Genomic DNA, 12,836 nt, shown 5'->3' on the forward strand with positions numbered 1-12,836 from the left:
ACAGAATATTAGATTTTTAAAAGTTAAATTTACCTAATGTTTATTGTATACCAGATGTGATGCTAAGACATTATCATTTAATCCTGGACAGTATCATCCCTATTTGACAGGAGAGGAGGCTGAAGCACAGGAGTGAAGCAACAACCTGCAAGTCACACCAGCCTAATACATATGCTTTAATGTCTTTGCTTTACAACAAAAGAGATAATTAATTTAGTTCTTCAAAGACTGGGGCAACGTGCATAGCCAGAAAGTACTTTCAGGAAAGAGGAACTAATAGCAATGCGTAAAAGATATTCATGTCTGCTTGGCTATAATATAGGGCCTGTGCTGGGTTATACCAGGGGAAAAGTTAAAAGGTGGGTCAAACTGGATTAGGGTGGGCGATAGCACTCTGTTTTGTCTAGATGGGACTGGGAGGACTTTCAGGTTTTGAGTGATGGTGTGGAGGTTGGGGTGGTGACAAATCCGAGTACAGGGACATGGCATCAAAGAGTCAGAGAGCTCTGCAGTATGACAGTTGCACAGACTTGCCCTTTGGAGTGATTCAACATTGCCGGTTTCTTTCAAATATTTGGCTAATCTTCTGGAAACAAAGGCTTTTAATTGAAAGGTTAAGGACTAACAATCTCAAACATTAGATTCAAGGTTATCCCATCTTGCCAAGCTCTGATGCTTAGTGACCCTCAAACTTCAAATAAATATAATGTCTTAAAGGTGGCTTTTTAAAAAGTCAAAGGCCATTATGTCTTACACCCTACATTCTAAGATCGATTTCATCATACAAAAGGGCCCCCCTAATGTCTGCTTTATAGAAATGTATATGAAGTGGAATGACATTTTGAAATGTGAGCTCCTTTAAAACAAAAAAAGAGCATCTTTTGTAAATGGCAGCTATTTACTAAGATAGTCCTGCATTTATAGCCTCTTGTATGAAGCAGAATGTATTAACATGATTTTTCCCAATTTATATATGTTTTTCCATAAAACTGTTGAAAGTCTGGAAAGACCAGTGCCAAGAAAATGCTCATTAAGAAGGGCAGTAGGAAAGGAAAAGACAGATTTCTGCTTCTTATACATTTAGAATAAGTGATATTGGGGCGATGCGCTTTCTGTATTTTAAAAATTAAATTCCTTAAAGATGTGCTAATTTGGTAGACAGCAAAGCTTAAAATGTAGGCATAAGTCTACAGTCTAACTTGGGCTAAAGACAGAATCATGAAGATGCTCTAGGGTTCAGTCACTTTCAATTAAACTCAAAAGTGAAGGGAAACCACACATAGAACATAAGCATATCTGAAATCACATAGAACAGTGCCCATAGTCAGCTGTCAACACTTTCATCTTAGGCATCATTAAATGATAGCTAGGCAGAGTTGTTGGGGAAAGCTCCTGACATATGAAAAATTCAACAGTAAGTTTTCAGTCAAATGATAAGTAGAAGTCAAAAAACTCTTATGCTAGGATTTTCAAAGTTGGTCAGTGGATGGCCTATAGTTGGTTTCCAGCCTGGGGTTCTTGGAAATGCTGGGGTCTGTGCAGACAGTAATGAGTTTGTGACCTAATTTTAGCATTTTAAAGAGCCTAATGGATATCTTAATTCACAATACAGCTGCACAGGGAAATAAGAAACAAAACAAAACAAGATTCTTTGATTTGGGCAGAAATTGTGTTAAGTCAAAGCAATAGCCTTAATTATCCAGTGCTAAGCCAAAGGTCTTACCTATTTTCTCAAATTTTATTAGTAATTTTATAAACAATTTGGTGGACACTTTTAAAAGGAGAAACAGAAGGAGAATAAGAAGTTGTTTGTGGATAAAGTATCAGGCTGAAATCTATTCACCACAATTCTTATTAGCCAGGTGATTACATCCATCAGGTCAGACAGATATATGAGCAATGATGAATACTCCATTGGTAGAAGTTAAACTAGCAACTTGGAAAGACCACACCATCTGGAGAATTTCAGTAACAGCTTGTCTGCCTTCCTCAGGCCCTGAGCAGATATAAACTAGAAGAACATATGGATATTGCTCATTATAAATAACCTTAAAGTTAAAAAAAGGGGGGGGGGTGGTCAGAATTGTTTTACTTATACCAACAGATGATAAGGCAAGCTAAAGTTTTCCATTTTGCTCACTCTATAATAAATTGCAATTGATGTTGTAAATGAAAGTGGCTTGAGTTACTCACTCACCTGGCCATCTGGTTATTGTTTATTAAACACCTACTATTTGCCAAGCACTGCATTATCCTATGTATAGAGTGACAAAATAGACATGGTCTCTACTCTAAAGGGGCTTAGAGGTTAGGTAGGGGAGAAAGAACAAGCAGGTCACAGTTATAACTGATGCTATGTGTTTTGGAGGAATTGTTTCTGATTAGGGTAGAAAGCTTCATTGCTGTTAATAATACTTCATAAAAGGAAGAAAAAGTAGTATTACATCAAGGAATTATATATAAATTGCTGTATTGATATCAATTATGGAAAGATGCAAATGTTGTCTGAAGGGTTAATAACCCTCTTCAACAATTTTTAAATTATGACACAAATTGAGGGGATATTTACATTTAATATTTATGAGTCTCCTATAACCACGTTACAATCTGAAGGACCATCTGTATGGCAGTAACAGAAGGAAGCAATTCTGTTATACCTGAGGGTATTGAAGAATTTCAGTGATGTTTCCTTCAGAGTTATCATAAGATCCAAAGTTCTGAATCAACACTATCTTCATAAACACCAGAAGGAAACACTATGCTCATTTGGCATTCAGTCTGGCATTCACTTAAGAAGTACAAGCAATTCAGGGAACTTCTGTATTCTAGAACCAGACATGTTCTGTGGCACTTTTAATTACCAGATTTTCTAAGAATACAACGTGTCACTTTCAGATCAGGCCAAACATTGAACCTCAGATTTCAGTGAAACAATCTTATGAAAATGTAACCAAGGGTCCCTACAGCTTGCTTTAGTTATTTAAAGAGCACTACCAAGTCACAAGAGCATTATCAAGGGGCTACCAGGCAGCACTTGGTCAATGTCAGTCTTCAAGGAAATGGACTTCATGATCAATACAAGTAGTGAGCCCTCCACAAATGTTGGCCGCATGAAGTGTAAGAGTCCAGATCCTAACACAGAACATGGTTGTGCCCACTGTTTCTATGAAAGAGTTCTTGTGCAGAAAACTGAACATTTGCATCACTATACACTAAGTGGGAACAGCATTACAGAATGTACTTCGTATGCAGATATACCTAAAAGATCCACAACAGTACTGTCTGCAGCTTAGAATGAAGCTAAGATTTTATCCTAAACTGTTCATGTTTAATGAATGAGTCAAACCTCTGAAAGTCTACTTTTCATAATTACCCTTTATTTTCACACCTCTCCTCCCTCCCCATCATATTTTTTTTTTTACTTAGTTCCAGCATTTTTCCTCAACCTTGCCTCACCGCCACCCTGAGTTCCTCCTCCCTAAAAAGCTATACCACGTTGTATCATACATGTCCCTCATGATTAGCGGACTTATATTATGGTGTTTGTTGATCTTTTCTACACACATAGCATAAGTACTCCTTAATATATTTAAAACACTTGAAGTGAAAAACAAACAAACAAACAACTCTTTATGGGATGAGCTCTTTCTTCCATTTTCTCCAAAGGGCTTCAGTGAGAATCTAAGGTGTAAGAGACTCTGGTTGTAACTGATCTCCCTTTATGGCTAAATTTTTGTAGGAGTGTTTACTGGCCTCCTAGCTTTCCTGATTTTGAATTAATCAGGTATCGGTGTTCAATTCCTCCATTCACATTCAAGCTGAGATTCAAAGCCCTTCTAATCAGGCTGTGGACTATACATATACATGGCCACCTGCTCTCTGAAGAGGCCGTTGTCTTCTGTTTCCCCTAAACAGACACATAGACACACCAGACCTTCTTATGTGGTCTGCTAGCCTGTAATATGTACTGCCTTCACCTTCTTGAATTTCGTGAAAACCTTCATTCCAAGGCCACTCAAGATGTGTGGTCTCAGGGAAGTCTTTACCGGCCTCTTACCAGCCATTTCCTCACATTTGCCATGACCTATCATTGCCCTCTGATTCATGTAGAGCTCTTCTCTCAATTCAATAAAGCTTTTGGGATCCGAAAATTATTTGCCCTACTTTTCTAGGCTCGACACAGTCTGTTAATGAGCAGTGCGCTTAAAACATTAGGGGTAATAAATATTTCTTTTTGCACCTTAATCTTAGGTTAAGCAACCCTTTTCTCTACTTTGATGATTTTTGAAGAAATATAGGCTTTTCTTCAACTACTAAGCAATCTCCACTCAAACACATTCTGCCAATAGAGCCAGGTTAAGTTATCCCAATCAGCATTTGGTTTTCCTGCTTTAATGACGGATCTGCTTGGCAAACACCGCATATTCTCATTTGTAAGTGGGAGTTGAATAATGAGAACACATCAACACAGGGAGGGGAACATCACACACCGGCGCCTGGTTGGGGGGTAAGGGGAGGGATAGCATTAGGAGAAATACCTAATGTAGGTGATGGGTTGATGGATGCAGCAAACCACCATGGCACATGTATACCTATGTAACAAAACTGCATGTTCTCCACATGTACCCCAGAATCTAAAGTATAAAAATAAAAAAAAAAAATCAAAATTCTTATCCTGACATCCATGGCTCAGTATAATTCATCCCTACTTTTCAAACTCAGACACTTCTCAGCCCTATGCCACCTGTACTGTTTCTTGGCCAAACTGACCAGTCAGAGTTCTTTAGGCATATCCTAAGTTCATCCAACTGCATGATTTGCATATGCGCTGCTGCCTAAAATGCATTTTCTCTTCTTACCTTTGCTTATTTGACTTCCATTGTTCCTTTAAAAGCCAAATCCATTAACACCAATGGCCTTTTTCTCCCTCTGGATCCACACAACACTCTGTACCACTTAACTACAATAAAATCATATGTTAGTTGAGTAGTTACTATTTTCTCTAACTATCTTATAGGCAGCTCTTGTCATATATGTGTCCCTCTAAGGTAAATATTTGCACCCAACTTTCAATTACTATCAACTTTTAGTCATTGGGAACTTCAGACCAGTTAGACAAATCAGAAATCACAAAGAACAGGTTTTCAGGCAGTTAAGCAAGCATTTCTGCATCAAGCTATCCTTTAGAAGACAGCGTGGACATTAAATATAACTGTCTATCATTTCAATTCTAGTACATGTATGCTCTCTGAAAAGCCTCAGCTATAGTTGAACCTTAGCCCAGGCAGAAATCAATATTGACCCTCCTTACTAGCAACCAACAATTGATGGAAAAGCCTGTTCTATCAGCTACATACTTGTTTTTTCTACTTCAAAAATGAATTGCATTTAAGTCGCTTAATTTTAGAGGTAAAGGGGGCAGGGAGCAACACAAAACAAAATCAAGTAACAACAACAACAAAACCTAATGCTGATATAACTAAAGCACAGCTGACCCTTCCCTTTAAAGGATGGATATTTGAGCACCTACTATGTGTAGCCACAGCAACTTCTGATCTTCTGACTCAGAGGGCAGTTGTATGTTGCCCTAGTAGATTCACATTTCGTCCCAAAGCCAAACTGGTATAGCATTCTTCATATGATTATGTCAGCCCTCTGACATATGTTCAAACACATTTGGTTTATTTCTGTTGCACTAAATGGTAACAAAAAGCACGTTAGCATCTGTATTACATATTACAGAAAACTAGACCAGGTCTTGGCCCCCTAATAGGACACTTAAAATATAAAAAAATAAGTGAGATCATTTGGATGCAATATTTAGAACCGAGAGGGCAGCTGTGTTCAATATGGACACAATTAGGGATGAAGTTATTCACTTTCCAGTTCTTTGGGTATGGATTAACTATAGACCTTAAGAGGACTTAACTGCCCTGCTCAGATGAGGTTTAAGTGGTACCTTAAAGTTAGTATTTGTGTGCCTCTACTGATTTATGAAGCATTGCCACATTCTCCTCCTTGATTATTCACATTTAATAGTTTAAAGATATATAGGAAAGACAGTCTTCTAATTTTCAGCCTGAATGTGTGCATCTCTAGAATTTAGCTTGCCTGATACTCAAAAACAATGAGAACAAGACCATTTAAAAAATATCAGCTTAGTTATTGCATTGAGAATTGCATTTCTAGGACAGGTAAATTTCAGAAGCAGCCGCAGGAGTTCTGAAGAGTTTTTAATTTTAAAATCGAGGCAACTCATTTTCCTGATGGAGAAATGAAGCTCAGGCCTTATATAGCTTGTCTTACATGGCAAAGCTAGGCTGTGGGCACAGTCATTTGCAGCTTAGAACCCAAGCTCTTAACCATGAATCTATGTTGGCTTTTCAAAATCAGAGTTCCAATTATATACTTGTACATCACACCCTTGTATTTTTCAGTTTGAGATGTGATCTCTGTTTGACATCAGGCATTCTTAGGACTGTTTTTGCAAGGTAAGTGAGACAACTAAGGGCCAGAGACATTGAATAGCATGCCCAAGAAATGGTAGCACTGCCATTCACATGTAAGTCTGTTTAACTCTCTATCCTATGTCCTTTGCCACACATGAGGAAGACTTTTGTTTTGATTTCTGCTCACTGGGAGATTTTCCATTGCTAACCTAGCATCAGACTTCACATAGTAGGTAATTGCTAAGTATTCAGATAAACGCCAAGGTGCAAATCATAAAGATTCATAATTGAATCCTGGCTCTACCACTTAATGATAACACCTTGGGCAAGATACTCATCATATTGGAGCCAATAAATAGAGATATCTTTTCTATTTCAAGTTACTTAAAGTGAAAGTCGAATGGGAGAAAGGAGCAGTGCTTCGTTAGCCATTAAACTTTACAAAAACTAAATGAAGTAGACTCATTTATGGAGAGGACTTCATCTGCACTTCTAGACATGGCATAAAAACAAAATAAAAAGTTTTATAGGTTAGAGAAAACCATCTGGTTCAAGGGTAATGATCTAGTTTACTGGAATCCTTTTTAAAAGAAGTAAGTGGGACAGTCTCCTAATAAATGAAGATTAATTATACTCTTTAAAAACCCCAGCAGAGGGGAAAAGATTTGGAAGTGAGGTGATAATATCAAACCAAAAGTATATTGGATTTCCTAGGATCAAGAAAGTCATACTTGGTATATGGGAAAAATATCCAAATCCCATGCTTTTTAATCTTTCTGCATCCTAAGATTCAGTTAAACTGCACTGTGTTTAAAGGCTTTTGCTTTATTATCTCCATGACTGAAGGAATTCAAATACTTTGTTATGATTTCCACTGAAGAAGTGAATCCTAAAACCACTGAATTATGAAAGTTACTCTTGGATCACGTGGTGGAGAGCTAGTTTAGATACAGCTGGATGGGCCCTACTTCCAGAGTTTGCAGTTCTGACAGGTCCCCAGCTGATGTTGATGCTGCTGGTTTGGGAATCAGCTCTGAGAACTATTGTCTTAGATGAGTTCCCTCAAGCTGTGAAATACACATCAAGCTAAATGTCCAATTTTGAAAGACTGAATTAATTTGTCAAATGCAAACTTGTGTATGGCAGCTCATCTTTCATATAAAGATCAAAGTCTTTTTGGGACTAACATTTTGCATCATATTGCTAGGTAGCAATAGGGTAGTTTTTTACCAAGAGACAACATTAAACCATATTTCCCTCATCCAGATTTCTTCTAGGTTGAAAGGTGCTTCAAATCCAGCATTCTAGGATTGTTACTTCCTATTTACCTGCTCCCTTTACTCTATGGTTACCTGAAAATCTAAGTGACAGCCCTCATACATTGTTTACCTTCAACGTAACACTCACTCAGCCTGCCCCATTCACTTAGAATTTTTACCAGTTGACTTAGTTAAAAATCACTTGCCCCTAGCTAGCTAGTACAAATGTAGTAGGGAAAACTTGCCAGGCTGCTTCTATATTGAGGTAGTAACTTTTAGGTTCCAGAAATTTCATAAGCTTTCATGTTTTGCTATCTAGATGATGCAAGAACTAGGAAGGTTAGAAAATTAAGTATTGGGATTAAAATAAGTTTGGAGGGGGTGATATAAGTAGAGAGGAGATTCTACTTCACTTAGTAACTTCCATTTTTAGACCAGGAAGCAATTTGTTCAGATTCTACTTCCCCTAGAGAGGCAGGCTTCCTTCCAGGGTAGAAGGATGCGGGAAGGGGAGTAACCATGGCAACCTGCCCAGCTATGTGGGCAAGGATAGTATGGGGCCTGCACACACTCGGAAGAATTTTTATTTCTAGCCTAGTCATTCAGTTTAATCCGGGTGGTCCCTCCCTTCCCACTTCCTTCTGTGACAATGCTGACTTCAGGGGGAAGGATTGCTCCTTCTCTGTCAGGAGTCTGAGAGGGTGTGGGGAGGACTTAATTGAGACCAGCGAGGTCAGCCTGACCAAACCAAAGTGCAGGCTTCCAGGACGAAAACAGAGAGTAACTCCCTGTCTGTTCTAGCATGAGCACAAGCAAACGCACTGGCTTTATTAAAATCAAGTGCTTGAATAATTAACCTTTTTCAAGTAGGTGAAGGGTATTCAATTTTCATGAAGAAATTTTCCATTTGCTTTCAGTTTTCACAAAGACACTTAATTCAGTTGTTCAGGGGGGAGTAATAACAAACAAACAAAACCTTCAAAATCAGATGGGAAAAAGTATTCCAAGTATATTAGATTAGCTGTCTTCCCAGCAATCCTGGGGTAGGTACTATTATTCTCCCCAGATAAGCAAGCTGAAGTACAGAGAGGTTATGGAATGTGCCCAAGGCCATGTAACCTGCAACCCTGTAGCTAAGATTTGAACCCAGGAAATGGTACTTCAGAAGGTAGTTCTCAACTACTATCCAATTGTGCCCTGTTGGAGGCAGCCAGTGTTGAATGTTAGCCCTCTGTGTCCGTACCAGTCATCATTTGTTCCCCTAACCAGGAATTTGCTTGTTTTCTGTCTTTAAGTAAAGACTGAGGAGTCTGCTTTCCTTCTGATTTCCACCAGTTAATCCAGTCAGGATATGCTGATATTATGAGTTGGGTCTCCTTTAAAGACACATATCTGGTGTTAAATCTGATTCATCTGGCCGGGTGTGGTGGGCTCATGCCTGTAATTCCAGCACTTTGGGAGGCCGAGGTGGGTGGATCACTTGAGGTCAGGAGTTCGAGACCAGCCTGGCCAACATGGTGAAACCCCGTCTCTACTACTACTACAAAAAAAAAAAAAAAATATTATCCAGGTATGGTGGCGGGTACCTCTAATCCCAACTAATCAGGAGACTGAGGTCACAGAATCTCTTGAACCCAGGAGGCAGAGGCTGCAGTGGGTCAAGTTCATGCCAGTGTACTCCAGCATGGGCAACAGAGGGAGACTCTGTCTCAAACAAAACAAAACAAAACAAAACAAAAATCTGTTTCACCTAAATATGATTTTGGCCAACCTTTGTGCAATTCAGCGGCACAGCTTCAACTTTGGAATTACATAGCAGTGCCAGGGAGAATTTTAAAATACCACATCCTGTTACTCAGGTGTTTCATATTGCCAATCTGGTTCCCATTCTGGTTCTGTCTAAAGGGTAAAAAACCTTATGTGTTTGGTTAGTTACCTAAACCTTCCTGGCCAGTAAGCTTTCGAATCTTTCCAGCTGGGGAGGTATGTTCTGATGAGCATTAGGACAACTTCAAACCCCAGGAGGGCTCACTCTCAGCAGCTTTCCCAAGCATTTCAGCATCTTGGCTTTGTCTTTAAGAAGAGCAATAATTAAATCCTCAGGTCAAAAGAATGAGGAAGAGAAACACGCAGAGCCTTCAAAATTATCCAGATGAAATATCAGTGGTAGCAAACTTAGGTTTATGGACATATGAGGGTAGAGTTAGAAATGAAGCAGCATAAGAGCCTATGTCACAGCAAAGCCTCCTGCTTGGCCAGGAGCACTCAGCAAGGAAGATATCTTCCTGCTCCCTTAACCTTCAGATAATCGAGGCCTGGTTGAGCAGGCCAGTAAATATCATCCCCAAACAGCTGGTCAGCAGCTGCCAGAGGTCCCTGTACTACCTTCATGCCAACAAGTGCCTTAAAAGCCGTACCCTTCAACCCAAACAAGGCCAGTGAAATCCATTCAACCTTTGGAGAAAGACAACAAACAGGCCTAATGCACAGGAATTTGGACTTCCAGTTTAATCTGAAACTATAAAAGTCTTTAGCAGAAACACAAACTCTGGAGTTTGCCCTTCACAAATTAGACAAGGTTTGTAACAAGTGCTTTCTTCCCTCACTTACATCCTCAGGTAAAGATCAACCATCAAGATCAAAGATCCCCAGAATGGCAAATACATACGTGTATGGGCTCAAAGTTGGAAGACATTCCTCTACCATCTACTTATTCTGGTTATACATTAAAGCATAGGAGGGCATAGCTGAAAAATGACTGGTTTCTAGGTCAGTCATTTGGATGAGAAGGGATCCTTCCAGCTGGGAGTGGGAAAAGAAGGGGGAAGTTATTCACCAACAACAGGAAAAAGAATTTAGTTGGCCTTAGGAGGAAACTGACTAAGGATTTGGAAGAAGTGGTCTGTCCCAGAAATCCACATTGGCAAAGACCACTAGGTCTTCTTCATGCTTTCTCTAGAAGACTTTCCCATTGTACTCAAATACTCCCGAATTCTCAAGGCAATAAACTTTCTTACAGTGTCACTGAGGGCCATCTCCCTTCCAAGAGGGGAGACACAGAACCTGGAGTGGGCGGGGCACCTGGCTCAGAGAAAAGTAGCCTCCCAAAGTCTGGCTGCTGGGGTAAGAAGCATGGTGACAAGCCATTTGGTAGCTGCAAGCTCCCTCCTCCCCAACAGCCAGTAGGTGCTTTTGTGTGAGAAGCCAACCTCAAGACTGTAAGGACAATCAAGTATACATCTCATCAAAGCCATTCCAAGAGGCTTATCAGACATCTCAAAGGCATTTTTTGTAGATGCCTGCTTTCCACTCCCATTACTTCTGTTTGCATTAGTTATATCTTACCTCCTTCTCCCCCATGCCCCTGCTTTGCCTGACTAAGGCCAGAAATTTTTTCATGAAGTCACTTTATAGAGCAATAGCAACATTTACTATTCGTGAAGTCGCCCCTCCATAATTTTTAAGTCTTTCCATGTGTCTGGAAGCTTGTTTCTGCTCTTCTCGGTTTACAGAGCGGCTCTCTTCCTTCCAAACAAAAACTAAAAAGAAAGGGGAAAAGGTGGGGGGTGGTTGGGGTGGAGATAACACCCAGATTCCTTAAGTGTTTTTAATCCAGTTGAATTTCCCTTTGGACTCAGCTCCCTGCTGAAACTGTCTGCGGACCAGAATTCCAGGCTCAGAATTAAGTCAAGAGGGAAAGACAGCAGAAACAAATAACAGAGTCAGCTCTATGCTATGAAAACCGCTATGTTGACTGAGGCTCCACGGTTTTAACCCATTCATTTTTCCCCCCTTTTTTAGAATTCTTACTTAATCTTTTTAACCAGCTTACAACAGGCAGGCAAGCACCATATAAACCATGCTCCCTGCGCCGGGGGATATAAAACAAGTTTCTTAAGTCCCTTGGGTAGATACTTCCTTAGGAATGCCGGTGTAAGACAAAAGTTCACATTTTAATGCCATATGTTGTCAGTCACCAGGAAAAAGCTCCTTATGGGCACAAGCCAGGTCCCCAGCCTTTGTCACACAGCAAAAATAAACACCCTTCGAGGAGTTAATTAGGCGGTCAGCAGCCACCTCAGTGTCCTAGGAGGGCTGCCCGCAGACCTTTTACACACACACACACACACACACACACACACACACACACACACACACACACACGACACAAAAGGAGGCGTTTGTTAAATGTCACAAGCTGGGCATCTGGAGTCGGATTCGAAAGGTAAATACATTCCGCGGAAGCATTCCTCAGATGTCAGGCCACAAAACTGCTGGTTTCCCCAAGCACAGGGTCTCATTTCTAAGATTCCCCACAGCCCAAGGTCTGTACTCAAAGAAGGGTAGCGGGGGGCGGGGGGGTGAGAGAGGGGGAGCAAAGGAGAGAAGGAGATCTTTAAAAAAAAAATGGAGCCAGAGGGAAGAAGGGTTTCGAAGCTACTCACCGGCTAGCTATTGCCTCCGTGAAGCGAGCATGACTTCCCCGCGCCCGGAGCCTCCAGGCTACAGCGCAGCGGATGCGGCGGGCCTCGCTTAAATAGCCGCCGGCCGGGAGCTTCGGAGCCGCGCGGCCACTCCCGGCGAGAGATATGGTTCTAATCAGATGCTGGCAGCTGAGGACTCCCCAGGAATGTGCCAGGATGTTTTTGCTGCCTGGGCTTGGTAACTCCCCCTCAACGTGTCTGCAGAGTCTTCCAAACTTAACTGTTTATTAACTCGCGCTGCAGCGGCGCAGAGGACCCCGCTCCCCTGAGCTCCGCGAGCCCCACCAGCTGGGGGCGATCGCAGGGACCCAGCGACGGGAGGGGAAATGTGTTCGGGGAGAAGTCAAAAGCCCCAGACCGACGCGGGCGGGGGGCGGGTGCAAATAAGGACAGGAAAGGGAAGCTCTGGAGGAAAGGGGTGGGATCCACCGAGCTTCGTTTCACAGATCCGTTCCCTGGATTGCCACTGCGAGTGATGTGGCACACGGAGTCATCCTAACCAACCCGTTGGGGCCCTTTGAACAAAGGACTGCCTTTACTCCTGACTTTTCTGACAAGGGACAACGGTTCCTGCGCAGATCTGCAGTTTCTAAAGTTGATCGCGCGATTGGATTTGCTCCCCTTAGAAGAAATTAGTGTCTCCC

General features: G+C 41.2%; 1 protein-coding gene across 2 annotated transcripts in view; it reads right to left on the bottom strand.

The window, feature by feature from the left end:
• DAB2 (DAB adaptor protein 2) overlaps positions 1-12,330 on the bottom strand; it is a 53,304-nt gene extending 40,974 nt beyond the window's left edge. For both annotated transcript variants that reach the window (NM_001244871.2, NM_001343.4), the window contains exon 1: positions 12,154-12,330. The gene's annotated coding sequence lies outside the window, so the exon portion shown is untranslated. The remainder of the gene's footprint in view (positions 1-12,153) is intronic.

Source organism: Homo sapiens, chromosome 5, assembly GCF_000001405.40.
Source record: "Homo sapiens chromosome 5, GRCh38.p14 Primary Assembly".
In the NCBI taxonomy this organism is placed as follows: domain Eukaryota; kingdom Metazoa; phylum Chordata; class Mammalia; order Primates; family Hominidae; genus Homo; species Homo sapiens.